This window comes from Homo sapiens, chromosome 2 (genome assembly GCF_000001405.40).
Source record: "Homo sapiens chromosome 2, GRCh38.p14 Primary Assembly".
NCBI classification, from domain to species: domain Eukaryota; kingdom Metazoa; phylum Chordata; class Mammalia; order Primates; family Hominidae; genus Homo; species Homo sapiens.
The window spans coordinates 214,059,551-214,079,309 of record NC_000002.12 but is presented as its reverse complement, the minus strand read 5'-3'; the positions used below and the strand labels follow the sequence as shown (position 1 = coordinate 214,079,309).

General features: G+C 34.5%; 1 protein-coding gene across 16 annotated transcripts in view; it reads right to left on the bottom strand.

Annotated features, from left to right (window-relative positions):
* SPAG16 (sperm associated antigen 16) overlaps positions 1 to 19,759 on the bottom strand; it is a 1,126,038-nt gene that overhangs the window by 331,192 nt on the left and 775,087 nt on the right. Inside the window, exon 14 of one of the 16 annotated variants that reach the window (XM_011511824.3) lies at positions 16,570 to 16,620. The exons of the other annotated variants lie outside the window; for them this stretch is intronic. Coding sequence (XP_011510126.1) covers positions 16,585 to 16,620 — 36 coding nt within the window. The 3' untranslated portion in view covers positions 16,570 to 16,584. Of the gene's footprint in view, positions 1 to 16,569; positions 16,621 to 19,759 lie in introns of those variants that run through there. 16 annotated transcript variants of the gene reach the window in all.

Here is a 19,759-nt window from a genome sequence, read left to right as displayed (position 1 = left end):
ATGGTGCCCTACATATCATAAGCTTTATACAACTTGCTGAATGCATAAAAAGGAAAGGTAGAAAGCTAAACACTGCCTTCTGATGGTGAGGTGGGAAGTAGAGAAAAGTTAGTGATTTTTCTTTTTTTCTCAGTGGTTGGGAGAGCTAATTTTGAAGTATGTCATGTCTTTCTATCTTGCTATGATGATCTTTTCTCTTGACTATCTTAGATGTACCTTAGGCTTAGAACAAGCAATGGAAGGGCAGAGATTCTGAGGTGCCATGAAAGACCTAAACGTGTATTCCACAGATCACACCAAGACTGTTACCAAGCGCTAACCCAGCTTCTCGTTGGTTGTTGCTGCCTTTTTCTACTGCAGGAAGGGCAATAGTGCAGTATCTTCCCTACTTTACCTTAGTGAATTAAACTGAATTAGTGATTGTATGGTTTCTGGAAATCCAAAATATTCCTTGTAAGGAAATCATTTTGATAAGGGCGTAGAATTACATTTGAAGGTTTTGTTTCTTAATTTCATAGAGAAATACTCTGAAAACAACAACCCCTAAAGATATTTATCATGTCATTTCCTCACTCTTCAGAAGTGATCAATTATAATAAATTTCCTCAAAGGGTTATTTTTTCACAGAAATATACTATATTTATAGTAATAACTCATCTAATCAAATTCATTGAACTGTTTAAAGAGAAAAGTAAAATAAAAGCATTGATAATTGCAATTAAGAGACACACAGAAAAGGAGCAATAAATAACAGATTTTTTTTTTTTTTTTTTTTTGAGACAGGCTCTTACAGTGGTGTGATCTCGGCTCACTTCAGCGTCGACCTCCTAGGCTCAAGAAATCCTTCCACCTCACCCTCCAGAATAGCTGGGACTCTAGGAGTGCGCCACCATGCCCAGCCAATTTTTATTTTATTATTTGTAGATATGGGGTTTCACTATGTTGTCCAAGCTGGTCTCAAACTCCTGGACTCAAGCAATCCTCCTGCCTCAACCTACCAAAGTGCTGGGATTACAGGTGTGAGACACCACACCTGGCCTAGAATAATTCTTGATGACTATACTTTTAATCTTTGTCAGATATTTTTGGGGTCTCTCTCCTAACGGCAATGCTTCCTTCTTTTCTGGAAACAAGCTCCCCTGTGCCTTCTAAGACACAGAGGCATGTGGAAGGGTCTTTTTCTTGGGAATACTTTGCCTTCCTCTCCCTTGCAGAAAGAATCAGAGGGGACACAGGAACACATCTAAGCAATAAGCTGCCTCTCATCACCTGAGTTCCCCAGAAAAGAGAGGCTAAAGTAAGGATTAATGTGCAAACGCTTTACTTAAGAGATGCAAGCCCAGAGCAGCTGCAATGAGAGAAAGAGAAGTGAGGCAGGGACAGACAGGGAATAAGGCATTCCTGCATTGGCTACTACACAAAAGGAACAGCAAGTTGCTACAGAGTTATATCCTTTGCCATACAGGATTTTGGTGGGCAGAATGCAGGGAAAACTATGACTCTGACTAATCCTGGGAGGGAAGAAGGAATGGGATTCAGTTCAAGTTTGCTTCTTGGAAATCAAACTCCCCTATATTTCTAGGGTACATCATCTGGATATTTTGGCAGCTGCACAATGTGCCTGATTCCATACCCGCCTTCATGGTGTTTAATTGAAGTCTGAAAGTGGTCATTGAGGCAGAATTATTGGCACATGGCTGGCCAACGTGCCTGCACAGGGGCAGCCAAGGGGAGGGGAGAACTCAGCACTCTCAGGACAAGTGACTAGATGACTTTGGAGACAGCAGTGCTGGGAAAATCAGTGAAAAGCCTTAAGATATGTATCTGAAATAATGCCCTTTCCCAAAAACTGAGAATAAGGCCTTTAACTCTACTTTTGTTTTGAGTTGGCCTCTTGCATAGATGAGACATAAAACTGGGAATCTTCAGTGTTAACTTTTTTAAACATGTGTTTAGAAGAACAAATGAAGCCTGCCTGTAGAAGAATAAAGAAGATATTCAGGTTGAAACAGAAACAAGAGTGAGGGACATCCTCTCGGGATCCCTTGAAGGCTTCTCATTCCTGGCTCCAGTCCCTCACAAGGTACAGTTATATTCTTGCCCCTAGGTACCCGGAGGTTGTGGTTGCCTGTTATTATTAATAAATATTTTTTCTCTACTTGCTCTGTTTATTTGTACATGTAATCAAACTAATGACATCTGTATCATCAGATTATAAGATGCAAAATAAATCTCTTCTTGGCCTCCCTTAAATGTTGTTATTCTTAGGCTTCTAGATTCCAGGCTCTCCTCTATTCTCATGCTGCACACTCCTCCAGGCGGCCTGGGTTCATTTCCAAAGCTTCCATTTCCAAAGTCCATCATATATAAGATGACTCTGAACTATGTCTCCAGCTCATATCACTAAATCCAACTTGCTATTGATCAGGGTACAAGTTGATGGTTTCCACTGAATATATCCCAAAGTGAATTTATCATCTTTCAGCCTAGATCTCTCTACCTCATGATCTGTCCCTTGCTTACTTATTAACTTTGCCCAACCAAAAGCAAACTATGAACTCATATGCCATTGTGGTTAAATTCTCACGATCACAGCCCAAGGCACATTCTATAATAAGAACTACAAGAGGTCAAGTAACTTGCTACCATATTTTAAAACTAATAGACTCAGTAGTCAAACATCTGTTTGCCAGAATCTAAGGGCTGTGCTCTTTTTATTGTAGCATACACTCTCTCAACACAAACACACACACACACACACACACAGACACACACACACACACACACACACACACAGAATAAAATAAGAAGAATTAAAATAAATTGAGATACCCTAATTTTCACTTTAGGCCAATTTCTTAATTTTGTTTCAGGCATGTCCTTATTTTAATGATTGAATTTAATTTACAGTTAATTTCCATTTATCAGTATGTTGCTGATCTTTCTGGATGAATATTAGTGTAAAACACTTAATCCCTAGATACCTTCTTTCTGTTAACTAATATGTTTTAGATATAATTCTTCAAGATCAGGTGTTGTGTCTTCAAGTAGTGCAGACTAATTTTAATATCAGTCTAAACAAGCTGTAATCAAGAAGATAAATATACCTCAAAAATCATGCAAGACATTCCAAATTCAAATAGAAACGATTTTTGGGTTATCCATATCACTGTTTACTATTCATTTAAAACTTAAATGCATATGTATTTGTGTGTGTCTGCATTTAAATATATACTCTACTATGTCAAATATACATTTAAATATATAAAAGAGATGTTCACATGTAAAAATGCATTCAAATATAGACATATGCTTAATAAGTTTTTGATTCCATATAAGGGGATATGACAGAAAGAAAATTTATTTGCTAATTAGTTGTAATCAAGGCAGAAATCTTTACTTAAGAAAATTAACAATTACTATAAAAAAGTCTTAAACTCCAGCACAGTTCTTGAATTTACAATCTGTTCATCCTTACTTTAGATATAAGAATGCATTTCCTTAAGCACAACACATGAAGTCATATAGCGCTACAAAAATGTATACTGAGATAAAAATAAATCAGTTTCACTTAATTATCATCATGTGTGTATTTCCCTGCCTTGGACTTCAGGAGTGGGGCTGCTGTGGAATTTCGCCTCTGTGTTAAGGACGTATGGTTCATTATTCCCCTGAGGATATGAAGTTTTTCTTCTGCATATTTCTGTTTTATTTTGTAAGAAAACATTTTTGTTGGAGTATATAACATACTTACAGCAAAGTGCTGAAATCACAAGCGTTTAAGTTGGTGAGTTTATGTCAAGTGAAAATACCTAAGTTGACTTGTAGATCATTACGGCGTCCAGAAGCCTCCTTCATGCCCTTTCTCAATAACTATCTCCCCATAAAGTAAACACTATTTTGATTTTTATCAATAAAGTTTTTAATTTTACATAAATGGTATTAATTATGTACTATTGTACATAATTAATGTACAATAATGGAAGGGAATAGTCTAATCATCTTTGACTTTTGGGTATGTGAGGATTTATTAAATGGGCCACAAAATGTATTATTACTGAAAGAGAAGATAGAAACACTTTCAATTATCAAAATCAAGAAATTCCATTCACTAACGCCATTATGAACTGGAAAGACAACCAGAGTGGGAGAAAATACCTGAAAAAAAAAAGCTAGGGTACAGAAATATGAAGCACTCCTATGTTTAAAAGATTATAATGTTTAAAAGATTATAAAATTCAATTGTTTTGTGTGGCAGTATTTCATTATTTTTCATTGTATATGGTATTTCAACGTATGAAGCTATGCCATTTATTTACTGACTCTACTGTTGATGGAAATTTAAAGTTGTTGTAGGTTTTGACTATTGAAAATAATGCTATTATTAATATTCTTTTCCCACTCTGCATCCTTGCTAACAGTTTGCGTTATCTGCTGTTTTACTTTGGGGCATTTTATTGCGTTTATAGTGGTATCTCATTGTGTTTTCAAAGGACATTTCCTTGATGACTAATGATGTTTAATGCCTTTTAATATATTTATTAGTCCTTTGAATATTTTTTGTATATGTACTGTTCAAATCTCTTGCCTGTTTTTTAATTGAAAACTGTCTTTTTATTATGACTTACAGGAGTGCTTCATATTTCTGTACCCTAGCTTTTTTTCAGGTATTTTCTCCCACTCTGGTTGTCTTTTCAGTTCATAATGGCGTTAATGAATGGAATTTCTTGATTTTGATAATTGAAAGTGTTTCTATCTTCTCTTTCAGTAATAATACATGTTGTGGCCCATTTAATAAATCCTCACATACCCAAAAGTCAAAGATGATTAGACTATTCCCTTCCATTATCTTCTTTAAAAATTATTGCTTTGCACTTCACTTTAAGGTATATAGTTTATCTAGGATTAATTCCTGTGTATTGTATAAGTTTGGAGCAATAGTTTATTACTTGTCATATGAATATGAAATTGATCCTATATCATTCATAAAAACAACCTCTCTTCCATTGTATTTATGTCTTAGTTGAGATTTCCGTGACAGAATACCATAGACTTAGTGGTTCATGAACATAGAAATTTATTTCTCACAGTTCTGGAGGCTGGCAGTCTAAGATCAGAGTGCTAGCATGGTTGGGTTCTGGTGAGGGCCCTCTTCTGGATCACACATAGCTGTTTTCTCATTTTATTCTCACATAGCAGAGAGTGAGAGAACTCCCTTGTGTTCCATTTTAAGGGCACTAATATGATTTGCGTGGATGTAGGTGCACCCTGATGACCTAATTACCTCCCAATAGCCTCACTCCTAATAATGTCACATTGGGCATTAGGATTTCAACATATCAATTTTAGAAGGGACACAAACATTCAATCCATTGCAATTACAGTGTAACTTCTGTTGAAGTGGTGGCAACATTTATATGGGTCTCAGTTTTAGGCCTTCTATTTTGTTCCATTACTCTACTTGTCTATTTTTGAGCCAATATCACCATGTCATTATTAAAGTAAGACTTATAGTAGGTCTTGATATCTGGTAGTGTAAGTTTTCCAACTCTGTTCTTTTTAAAGCTTGTCTGTACTATCCCTGACCCTTTGTATTGCCATAAGAATTTTAGAATCACTTGTCTTTCTATAAAAGAAACTGCTGGAATGTTTTATTTGGTATTTCACTAAATTTATAGATCAATTTGAGAAGAATTGACATCTTTATGCTATTGAGTTCTTCCAATGCACAGACATGAAATATTCCTGCATATATTTAGGTCTTTTAAAATATCCGGCCGGGCGTGGTGGCTCATGCCTGTAATCCCAGCACTTTGGAAGGCCGGGGCAGGTGAATCATGAGCTCAGGAGATCGAGACCATCCTGGCCAACATGGTGAAACCCCGTCTCTACTAAAAATACAAAAATTAGCTGGCATGGTGGTGGGCGCCTGTAATCCCAGCTACTCAGGAGGCTGAGGCAGGAGAGTCGCTTGAACCAGGGGAGTTGGAGGTTGCAGTGAGCCAAGATTGCGCCACTGCACTCCAGCCTGGTGATAGAGCAAGACTCTGTCTCAAAAAAAAAGAAAAAAAAAAAAAGAAAAAATTTCCACCAATAATATTTTTTAGTTTTTAGCATAGAGAAATTCCATATTGTTGACCAATTTTGGTAGGTAGTTGATTTTTTATTGCTACTTTAAGTGTTATCTTACTTTATATTTAATTTTCTAGTTGTTTGTTACAAGTATATAGGACTGCAAGGTATCTTTTCATGTTGATCTTATATTCAGCCACTTTTCTAAAAGGAATAATGAACCACTAATTGTCACTAGAAATTTTAACTTTGTGATGAAAAATTGAAATGGCCTAATATATTTGTATGTGTTCATATTCACACATATGCTGAGTAGCTGTCTGTATATTATTTTGGAAATACAAGTATCTAAAGTACTATAGAAACTAAATCCAAGTTGGGTTTTAATTAAAAAACTGATGTTTGTCCTGTCCTATTGTTAAAATACATTACATTTTTATTTTTAAACATTTTTTAAAAAGTCCTACCCCTCCTAATTAAAATATATTGTCTTCTACTTTTTCTGATAATACAGTTTTTAATGACATCATCTTGGATTCTATTTTTAAATATCTTAAATGTCTATTTTCAAATGCTTTCATTTCTGTTACCTAAATTTTTATCAAACACCTACATTTCTATCTTCAAACTCATATTATTAAATCTATGCCAATTTTATTCAATAGCAGATTTCCCTAAACAGATTCCCTAGTCTAGTATTTCCCTTTAGTGTCATTCTTAAATGGTATATAGCTGAAGAAAAATTCCTGACAAACAATATTTTGAAAATGATTTGTACTCAAGGTGGGTGGGATTGTTCGGGGTGTAGGAGTGGTATGATGTTATATGTTTAATAAGAACATATCTGCCAGCAATTTTTTAATAGAATTTGAAACTTTGAAACAATACAACATTCATTTGGGCATTAGAAAGATCAGAAATAGTACCAGCTTTCTTCATATCCTTAATTAGATATTTCTACTTTATTTTTATATAAAGACTAAAAATTTTGCTTTACTTTGTTATAATGTATCTGTCAAAGTATCTCAAAGGACATTTACTTCTCTCATATAACAGGTGCAAATTTTGTGCTTGCCTTTGTAAAGATGTGTGACAACTGGAAACTGGAAATGTTAAGGGTCATGTATTTATCTTTAGAAAAGTGCAGCAAGAAAAAAAGCACCTTCCTGTAAATAATGCTTTTAAAAAAGTTCAATTTGTGACTTTTATGATTAAGATATTGTTTCTTAAAAAATAGCTTGTACATATTTATGATTAATTTATTTTGAAACCAATGAGAAATTTCACTAATTTTTAAAACCTAAACTCAGAGAGTTTAAAATTAGTTATAATTTCTCTTTTGAGTTAATGAACTAAGTTTCTAACTAAATTACAGTGTTATTGCCTTAAGTAAATAAAGACATAAAAGAATAAGGCAAAAATTGTGTTCTTCATCCTAGATCCTGATTACAATGACCAAAGAAATATATATAACAAATGGGAACTGATGATGAAGGAAAGATGATACTCACAAAAACATTGTAGTGTATTTCAGCAATCTACAACACCAAATTGAAGGAGGATAGGAAAGGCTGACTGACAGCTGCCTCTTCTGTATAATTGGTGCAGTAAACATGGAGACATCCACCAGTAACTCCCAATTTTATGTTGGAGTTCATGTTGGGTTAATATAGAAAAATCAGTACCTTAGTTTTTCAAGGTCGGTCATCTATGCAAATGGTTTTCCTTTGGTTGTTTTCATTATTTTTTCTTTTTCTCCTATATTCTGTATGATCATCTCAAGCTTATCCTCTACATGCCTTATACTGTTTACTGAATTACTTTATTATTTATAGCTTTTAATGCCATACCAGGGAGAAGTCCGACTGCCTGAAGGCTTTTGAGCTAATATGACTATACTTGTATTTAATGTGCTGAGCATAGACTATTTGGGCAGAAGTTTTGCATCTTATCTATCTACAGACCTGCCCTTGCTTTGAGCCCTTGCCTATTCAAATCAGGAGATGCTATTGAAGATCTTCCTAGCTGTATAACTATATTCCTGAGATACTCCACTATTTTCTTGGGATGTGGAATTGTGAGTTATCTATCACAAAAGTCTTCATTTGTTATATGCACCACATACAGCAGAAACTACTCAATATTCTTTGTGTGGATAGACTCCTTTCCTAGTTTCCAGTACTGGTGCAGACCTTTAGATTTTCTCGATTTTTATAATGCTTTGGTTATTTGTACAGTTTCCGGGTAGGGCAGATGAAGGTGAATCATTGAATTTCTTAGTTGACTCAGCCATATTTTTATAACTTTCTCTACTATATTTTCCAATTTATATTATGAATTAAGAAGAAAAAATTATAAAGCCCTGGGCAATGACAGATCAAAAAGAAAACTGCATAACATTCTCAGTTATACTATATATATGCAGAAATCTGAAAAATATTAGTAATGTGTTAATATAATAAAACCATAACCAAGTAGGATTTATTCTAAGAAAGCAAGGGTGGTTATATGTTAGAAACTCTACTGATATAATATAGACTTAATTACATCAGTATATTGATATATCAAAAGAGGGAATCTATATGATCAGCTCATTTGATGCTAAAAAGACAAAAAACAATACTTACTAGGTGAGGAAATATTCCAGTTTTCTAGAAATAGTAAAATATTCCTAATACTGGAGTAAAACAAATAAATGGCTGGAACCGACTAGAAAAAAAATTGCTTTTGTATATATTAAAGCTACGAAGATCTATGTTATAAATCACATAATTCAAAGCAGTGGAGAAAGAATGACATTTGATAAGTAGCCTTTGGACAACTGGCTTAGTATTTGGAAAACAATAAAGATCTACTCCATACCATATGCCAAAATGAATTACATTTGTTGTAAACAAACAAGAATTACAGAAAAAGATAAGTAAATATTCATCTGGTATCAGAGTAGGGGCATCTTTTCTAAATATAAAAATAAGAAATAAAACATTAGGGAAAGTATAGGTATATTTGATCACACAGAAGCATAAACATACTTATGCATTACAAGTATAAAAATTAAAAGGCAAATAACAAACTTGAAAAATACTTGTTGCAAGGAAAAAACTCATGGTCTTAATGCACAAAGAGGTATTTCAAACCAATCAGAAAAAAAAAAAAATTCCCCAAGAGGAAAATGTGCAAAGGATAAAAATAGGCAATTAAAAAAGAGAAGAAACACAAAATTGCCAAAACACATATAAAAATAAACTTAACTATACTCACAATTCAATGTTATTAACCAAAGTTACAATCTCCAGTTTATTGAACAAAGAGTCTCAGTGAGAAGCTCCTGGCCTTGCCTTGGTTGATATAAAGAACCTAATTATCCTAAGCATTTGTCTGTTGTCTATCTGATATTGGACATTAGAAAGGTACCTACATTCTGAGATTTTTAATAAAATCTATGATTTTTTTTAGAAAATTTAGGTTCTTCAGTATATATGAGTAGATATAGAAGTTTCTAAAATACTGAGGGCTTAAAAACAACAAAAAAAAAGGTGACAGAAGGGAACAAGCTTAGACTAATGAGACCTCATTTATCATGTTCCTCCTGATAATGCTTTTACCACCCATCTCCCTTGGTCATATGATTTTAGGTTGGCACTGGAATGAGGGTGAAGGGATAGAATTGGATGGGAACTAGTGACTTTCTGTTTAAGGCAGCTCTGAGTAAACCACTCTCTGACTCATCCTTGGACCAGGCTTTTGCCTGACTCATAGTTTAAGGGAGCTGTCACCCAGACAATAAAATCTCCTTAGATGCTATCTGCCAAACAGTCCTTGCTTAGTTACAACTGTGGGGGAAAGAGTCATGAAAGCAAAACCAGACATCGCTCCGGTTGAAATATCAAAAAGGAAAGTGGCAACCTAAACTCTGTGATGTTTATAACACAGACTGCCAATAACAAAATGGTGTTTCTAGGGAAAAATTAAACCCTTTCAATGGCCTCAAAGAAATTAGCAGCTTAACAATATACACGTATCGGAATGATTAAAACCATTCTCAAGCCTTATAAAAATATATGCAAAAAGATTTAAGTGTCCTTCAAAGATTTTGCATTTTATCTTATGTAGGAAATAATCACACAGAAAATTTGTGGAAGGGCAAAACTATATGGAATGTAATTTGATCTTATGAAATATATTTTAAAAGCATATACAACTTGGGTATTTAGAAACACAGGCTTTATGATTTCTTTTGTCCTAAGTGGCATGTCTTTAGAGTATATATAATGCAACGAATTTCTGAGGTCATTTTGACCTTTACTTCTTAGGGAATAAAGTATTATTCTTCTGTAAAGAAGTTCATAGTTTAATGGATAAGGTGTCAGGGAAAAAAAAATGAGACTAAGCAAGAATACCCTGGTTCTTGGGCTCTCCGTTATAAATAATGCTCTCATTAAAATTCTGCTTCGGAAGAAAGGCAAGTCCATTAGTCTGGGAGCTAATTTTTACTGGCTCCTTGGATGTATGCATATTAAAAATTCAGCTTTTATAATTGCCAGTCATCAACCACCTAGTCAATGCTGTTCTTGGAGATTTTAATTATTTACTTCATTTGCATAGACACTCCAATTTATGATCAACCATTTAGTTATCAAGGGACAGTTTGATAATTTTTCTTTTACATTTTTATTTATCCTTTTTATATTCCTAGGAAAAGCTCTGAGTCAGACCTTGTACCACAGTGAGTCTTATTAGAAAATAAAAACCATGGCCACCTCCATGAGTACTATGTGGGAACCATGGTTACTGATAAAACTTGGGCAAATTAGGGTTTTATTAGAACAAATCAAGGCTCTATGTCCAGTTAAAATATGCCTTTTATTCTGAGTTCAACATAATGGTTTGTGTAAAAATATCTAATAATACAGTACACACCAATAGTGCTTATTTTCTGTAATTCCCTTTCAGGAATGAATCCTTTCTGAAAAATAATCACAAAATGGCATACTGGGCAACTAAAATACAGTCACATATTATTTATCATCCCAATATTTGTATGATCTCTTGTTATGAATTTGCATCATTGTTTCCATTTTTAAGAACTGATTGATAGACACCAGAAATTAAGTGACTAGCTTTAATGTCTTAGGAGCCAGTGATAGTTGTGGAAATAAATTCTGTGTTCCATCCTTATACAACAGGACATTTTCTGTTATACTGCACGGCTTCCATATAGATGCAGTGTTTTCTCATCACTTTCCAAAAAAAAATATTTTGAAGGTTAAATTCTAATTTGAATTCTATTTACAAAGTAACACATTATTTTTTATAGTTTTTATGTCTCTAATCACTGAAGAATGTTTTATAATATCTCTTTGCCCCACTTACAGCTAACATGGTGTCAGACTTGGTGGAAATACGGTGAGAAAGTAGGGGCCCAAAAAGTAAATAAAGAAACCACAATGACATTTACTTAGGACGTTTGATAGCATGAAAATAATATTTCAACAAAATCCTGGCAAGGACCATCTTGAAAAGACCCGGATGTATTCACATCCAGACTATTTTACTTGTATATCATTATGATAGCATTCTTAAAATTTTAGTTTTTTTTTTTTCAGAAAGACATACACATACCCATATGCCTAAAAATCCTTTTCTTATCTTTGCCCAAATTTTGAGTATATTTTATAAGTGTACGCAATAGTAATACCTCTCCTGAATTACCCTTAATTTGGGAAATATCTACCTTGCTTCTCAGGTGGACCAGTGTCCCACATATTTTGGCTTTATGCATGCAGTAGAGCTGATTCTTCCCCAAATCTAATCAAAACTGCCTTTAATATTTGATGTTCACAATAAGGACTACTATTAAAACCTCCATTTCTATTGTGTGCTACACAATGTTTGATACAATATACATATTTTCTAAAAAGAGTAAAATATTGAAAAGGCTTCATATTCTCCTCTAAGAAACAACCTAATTATTGAACAAAACCAGTGCTTTGTCTATCAGCTGTGTTCTGCTACTGGCTCTGGAACAATGAAAGTGATGGATTTGTAATCACTGGTCTTATTGCTCTCCCTCCCTCTTCACTATCTGGAGGCTTTCTTCACATAGAAAGCTGAAAAGTTAATGTGAATGGAACCAAACAGCACCACCTGGAAAGCGTGGGAATTGATTGCTGAGGCTTCCTGCACTGCAAGACTTCAGTGCCATTGTGCCCAGCGCTCCTGGTGTGCAATCTCCTAAAACCCCCCAGAGAGCATACTGGGTGAAGGACAACAGTGGAACAAAGGATGACAGTTCTGGAAATTACAAAATCACTCCTTTGCAATGCAGACAAACTTAGTACCTGAAAATAATTTTTCCTTGGAAAGTTGAAATCAAAGAATAATTTTGATGTGTTTTCCTTTCTGCTCTTCTATTTCCCTTTTCCAGTAAAACATCCATCTATATTCATCTAGTTATCAATACAAGTTTTAACATGTTCCTTTTCCATTATATGGAGAATTATGTTTTTTTCTTTGCTATCTTTATTCTGTACAAAATATTTTATTGTAGTTTTTGAGTTTATTGAGTGTTTTTTCAGTAAACAACATATTTTTATTATATTGAATATTTTGTTGCTGCAAATATTGTCCTGTTCTAGGCACTGGAAGAGAAACACTTACATGAGCCACTTTACCTGTCCATAAAGAGTTTGAAACCAATAAGGAAAGAATAATGACAACTATAATAAATATGGGAAGGAGATATGCAATAAATGTAGGTATAAGTAAAGTTTTATGGAAATGCTTAATTTTAAGGTAGGAGTAAAATAGGGGAGACTAGGAAAAACATCATGAAACAGATGGCATTTTTTCTGAGCCTTGATGTTTGAGAAGGGTTTTGACTGATAACAAAGGAAGAGCTACAGCATTTTAGAAACAAGATTCAGCCTCAGATGGTGCTTGGTTATCTGGGGCAGCCAGAGTTGGTCTTTATGATTGCAATTCAGGTTTGCTGGAGGATTGTGGGAAGGTGAGCCAGGAAAGGTGGCTGTGGCAGACTTCTTTAATTTCATGAGGAAGCTTTACACTTCCTCCTGGAATTAGCAAAAGGTGACAGGGAATTAGCAAGATTTAAGAACAGACACATGTTCTAGGAAGATAAATATGGTGATAGTGGGAAGAAGTGGTCAACAAGCTGGACTTCTAACACAAGGGGAATAATTTGAAGGTGATTTCATCATTAGTTCTAGAACAGATGATAATCTGCACTAGTAAAGTGGTAGAGAATAAAAAGATGAAGAGTATTTGAGTATCATCAGGTATATATAATGTGTCATACGATATTTTGTGGTTGACAAAGTTTGGAGAGAGGAGCTGGTCAAACAGAAGTCAAACATTATGAGTTTGCTTAACTAGTCCAGAATGATATTTAAAGGCCAACCAATGTCTCCTAATTTAATGGAGAAGAATGAGAGGCTCATTTTATCTGGGCTACAGAGAGGGCTTCTTATTTTAACCAGGCCCTCACATATTTCAACATGCATAAAATTAACAGAGGAAATAAATATTCCCCTGTTAAGTATACAAACTCACATAAACTATATGTATTTGGTAATCTGTAAAGTAGGCATACTATGGAATAGCCTGACACTTTCCAGCTTTATTTGTAGTTTTTCTAAATGATCCAGTCAAGTGAATTTGAATCCCTTTTATTTGACTATTCCATTCTCAAATACTAACACCCTGTGCCATTTGCTTTTGTTCTTCCCACTTTAAAAGGTATTTTTCCCTTCACTGTAAAGATTTAGAATATTAGATGAGAACTTTCATAATTTCATTAATTCAAAATTATTTATTGTATACCTACTATGTTCCAGTCGGTGTTCTAAGTATTGTGATGCGATACCATATATAACAGTTTCATATAATGGATTTATAATCGATTTGAGGTCAAAATCCCTTTGCAATTTTAGGCCTATTTATTTTTAAAGATGATCAGAAGAATTATTTTCACTAGGATAAATATATTAGTGACATAATGCTTAAAAACACAGTTTTAGAATGAAACTAACAATAATATATAAGTGTTGATTCTAACCTTGTTAGCTCTGTGGACATAGATAAGTTATTCTGCCTTCTTAAACCTCAACTTTCTCATCTGTAAAAACTGAGATAATATTTATATCAACTTTATAGGTTTATTGTAAGAATCACATGAGAAAAAATATTTAAAGCTCTTAGCACAGTAGAAATACAAGTTACTGTTATTATTATTTATTCTTATATTCTTATAATTTTATTTTGAAAAAATGAAATAAAAGAAAAATTGAAATTAAGACATATGAATCTTCCAAAGTAATAAAACAAAAACTGCATTAAATAGACCCTCTTTTTTGGTCATATTTTCTTTTTAATTCAATCTATAGTTATTAACTTGTACAAAACACAAATCAGTTGTATTACCACACAGAGTATTTAAACATCTTCAGTGAATTTACAGAATTCTGTTTAATAGCAATTACAGGCTAGAAAACTGCCATGTGGCCCATTAAAACTAATTCAAACCAATATATCAAATGAACAGCTGAAATCTGTTCATTTGTTTATATCTGATTTCTGTAATTCAGTTAGTGGGTCAACTTACAATTTAATTGCAAAGACTATGAACTGAGGAACAGTTTATAAAATCACTCCTTGGAATTAAAATGATGAAACGCAGATAGCCCTATACAAAAGGAGGTCAGAATAATACACATACAATGTAGAGGTCTCCGAATATTTCTGGAAAAATACCTACAGGGTTTTACAAAGGGGACCTCCAAGAAATAGATTTTAGCACCCTAAATGAGTTAATTTTTAGAACAAGAGAATAATTGCTCCCAATATTTTATGACATTACCAGTTTTTAAACCTATAAGTATTTTTAAATTATCACAAGGAGCATACTTATTATTTAAAAAGCTAAATATATATAAGTATAATTAAAAACTATGAAAGTGTCCTCTCTCCACAGATTTCTACTCTCTAGACAGACGCAATTAATTATAGCAACTAGATATTATGCTTTCTTTATAAACATGATATGTCATCTCAATCACAGCTATACTCATATCCAAAGACACGTTTTGAAATAATAAAAGGATATATGTTTCCACAATTATTCAATATGTCTATTTTGTTCTTTGCCAAAATATCCTGAATATCTCTCAAAATCAGTACATGACTCTAGGTTGTTGGAATGAGAGCATAATATCCGACTGCATTAATTCTTCTCATTCATTCAGCAGGTATTTATTGAACTTCTATGGAATAGAGATTATGAGAAGTTGGGAGTATATAAATTAACAAAACAGTCGAAAATTCCTGCCCTCATAGGAGAGTTTACAGTGAGAGGAGAGATAGATAATAAACATTATAAATAAGTAATTTATGTATTATTAAAACATAATAAATGATACATTAAATAAAGTAATCTGGCATGGCCTCATGGAAATGGTGACATTTGAAAAAGACTGGAAGGAGGTAAGAAAACAATCCATGTTTATATATGGAGGAAGCAGTTCCTGGAAGAGGAAACAACTGATGCAAAGGCTGTGTTACTGTCTGAATGTCCCCAAAATTCATATGTTGAAACCTAATTGCTCATGTGATAGTATTAGAGGTGGGGCTTTAGGAAGTGATTAAGTCATAAGGGTGGAGCCTTCATGAATGGAATTAGTGACCTGATAAAAAAGCTGGAGGGAACTAGTAATTGCCCCATTGTTGACCTGTTTCTCCTGCCATGTGAAGACACAGTGCTCCTCCTCTCCATAGGATGCACCAAAAGGGCGCCATCTTGGAAGCAGACAGGGAAGCCTTCACCAGCACCTTGATCTTGGACTTTCCAGCCTCCAGAACCATGAAAAATAAATTTTCATTGTTTATAAATTACCCAGTATGTGGTATTATGGCATTTCAGCACATTAGATAAGAGAGGTTGTGAAGCAAAAGTATGGGTGGCATGTTCCAGGAATATAAAGGAAACCAATGTGCCTGGAGAGGCAAGAGCTGGCACTGTGCTGTTTGATATAGTACCCATTTATCACACATGGCTATTGAGCTAAACCAATTTAAGATGTGCTATTAGTATAACATACATTTCTGATTTTTAAGGCTGTGCATGAAAAAAATACCAAAAATCATTTTTATATTGATTACTTGTTGAATTTTTATACTGGTTTCATGTTGTTGAAATGATGTTTTTGAAATGTTGGGTTAAATATAATGTTATTAAATTAATTTCACTTATTTTCAACATTTTAATGTGCTACTAAAAACTTTAAAATTGCATATGTGACTCACATTACATTTCATCATTAGACAGTGCTGAGCTAGGAGAATCATAGGAGATGTTGTCAGAAGAAAAGCGGAGGAGCAGATCATGTAGGTCACTGGAAGGACATTAGCTTCTATTTGAATAAAATGAAAATCCTTTCTTGAGACTGGCCATAGGAGTGACTGATCAGAGTCACATGTTGCAAGAATCACTCTGTTTTACCATGTCGAGATTAAACTATAAGAGAGCAGAGACTAAAAAAAAAAAAAAAAAAAAGAGGAGGCTATTACAACAGGTGCGGTGGTGCCAACAAGATATTGTGATGAATTAGATGTGGAACTGGAGAGAAAGAGAGGAGTAAAATAATAACTTCAAGGTTTTTGTTCTCACCATCTGAAAAGATTGTGTTGCCATCAATTGAAATGGGTTGTGTAGTGGGAAATGCATGTTTGGGGATGTGGTAATGTTGTAGTGAGGTCAGGCGGTTGGTTTTGGTTTCTTTTTTTTTTTTTTTTTTTTTTTTTTGAGTCAGAGTCGTGCTCTGCCGCCCAGGCTGGAGTGCAGTGGCACGATCTCAGCTCACTGCAACCTCTGCCTACTGGGTTCAAGAGATTCTCCTGCCTCAGCCTCCTGAGTAGCTGGGATTAAGGCATGTGCCACCACACCTAACTAATTTTTGTATTTTTAATAGAGATGTGGTTTCATCATGTTGTCCAGGCTGGTCTCGAACTCCTGACCTCAAGGGATCTGCCCACTTCGGCCTCCCAAAGTGCTGGGATTACAGGCATGAGCCACTCTGCCTGGCCCAGGAGGTTGGTTTTTGATGTAACTTTAAGATGTCTATTAAAGATCACAATAGAAATGCTGATAATACATTTTAACATATCACTGTAGCAGTCTTTCTTCTGAATACTACACACTGCGTGTGTGTGTGTGTGTGTGTGTGTGTGTGTGTGTGTGTGCATGCTTTTATTCATTATGTATGCTATTTTCCTGCTTTTTTATTGGATAACAAACACTGGGAACTTTATCTTGTTGGGTGTTAAATTATTTTTAAAATTCCTCCTATAGCTCCATCCTTTTGAGTCTTGCCTTCTAACTTGTTAAATGGGTCCAGAGCAGTGCTCAACCTAGGGCTGCTTACTCCTCACTACTGAAGCAACTTCTGAGTACTGTAAAATACTGAGTATGGTGATTAATTTTATGTGTCAACTTTGTTAAACTATAGTATCCAGTTTTTGGTCAAACATAGGCCTAGATGTTTCTATGAAGGTATATTTTAGATGCAATCAGTAGCTGTAAGTAAAGCAGATTACCTTCCATAATGCAGGTGGGTCACATCCAATTAGTTGAAAGCATTAAGAGAAAAAAACTGAGGACCCCCATGTAAGAGAAAATTCTGCATCAAGACTGCCTTCAGACTTGAACTGCAATATCAACCCTTCTGTGAGTCTCCAGCCTACTGGTCTGCCCTGGAGATTTTGGACTAGCCAGCCTCCACAATCAATTCTTAAAGTATATGTATACACACGCATGCATACATTCCATTGGTTCTATATCTCTGGAAAACTCATACTAATACACCAAATGAAATTATGAGACTTTCCTGAGTACTAACCTAGTGCCCTGTGGATTATGAGTTTTTCCAATCTGTCTGGTTATAACACGCATAATTCCCAGCACCATATCTCAGCTTTTGGCACTGCTTCCCTTCCTCTAATCCTTTCACATGTTCTTTCCAAGCTTTATGTACTTTCCTCATAAATATGTGTTGATTAGTACTCTGCTAAATGCTTCAGGAGATCCGTTTGAAGATATTCGAGTTTCTCTATGAAGGACTTACCTCTCTTAGTACTCTGTCTCACAAACTTGAGTCACTTTTCAACTTCTCCTCTTAGAGAGTCTGCCATATGCCATTTCCCAAAAGCTATCTCAAGGTTTTAGCTGAAGACTCCTTATGGGACTTCCCTAAATTGTTCCCATCACTCAAGTAGCATAGTTCTTCATAGCCTGATGTCTGATGTCTTGAAAATCATTGCTTCTGTAATGTATTTCTTCATTTACATCATATTTTAATTCTAGTTTTATAATATATTTTATTTTGGGAAGGAATTTTCTGAATCCTCTCATATGTAATGTATCAGGTACTTGAGATTTATTTGTGTTGTAGCATTCCAACTCTCTGTCCCACTCCCATGCCCGAGAAAAGCAATCCTATTGGAATTCTGAATATTTGTTCTGATTTCATGAAGACATTTTTAAGATATCTACCCTCTTTACAGTGCTAAATATTCCAATCAAGAACAAAGAAAACCTCTCTCTTTACATGTCATTTTGTTTTCTAAGAGAGTGTTATAGTTTTATCATTATAAGTATTACACATTGCTTATTAATTCCATTCCAAGAGATTTATGGTTGTATTGTTATTATACATTATCCTTTTTCTTTCGATTTTTATTTTGCTATGTTTTCTGTTTTATTTTTGGACATTCATTATAGTAACCCATAATCTTACTGAATTATCTTATGTTTAAAAAGCATTTCATTTTATCCTTTAGGTTTTAGAGATATATAGTCACATTATTCAAAATAAACAATATTTTTGTCTCCTTTTCAAAATAAGGAATGTTTGGGAACTAAGGTTTTCATCCCTGGCTCCTTCTTCCTCCCAACTCTCTTTGGAGTCATTTAGAATATGGTGCATGCAAGCTGGAGGCATCTGGGTAGAGCCGGAGGATGAATCTAATATTCTGCAGATGGTATAGGGAAAAATTTTTTTCCTAAGGAGAATCAACTGAAATCTACAAATCTCCCTGATGAGAGGGCACACTGGCTTTGTGTAGTCTTTCAAAGGTTGCTTGATCCCAGTTACTCTCTTAGGCTTGGAGGAAATCAGTCACCTTGCACTCACCTGCATTACTGGGCTGCATTGCCCGCAGGTCCTGTGAGTGATACAGGGCTCTTACTTATACTCAGGGTGAAAAAAAGAGGGGACTGGGGATGCAGTACCCAGATGCTTCAAGAGAGAATAACACATTTGACAGATAACATAACCTGACCACGGGAGCAAAAATGACTGTGCCTTCCATTTTATTTCACCATCCTCCACTGAAAGTCTGCCTTAGCTCAGAACCCATAATATCCCCATGTGTGAAGGCTGGGGGCACATATAATGAAAATATGGCAAAAAAAAAAATAACCTTAAAGGGTATAAGTAACCTGAGGAATGGTGAGTGATCCAAAATTCTTTAAGTGATAGTTCCCAATAAATTATTACTAGAACTGATGAAGAACTCAAAGAAAACAGTAACATAAAATGAATGAGGACCATCAAACGGATATAGTCAGAAAATCTATAATGATTGTGATTCATAAATTATAAAATAAAACACT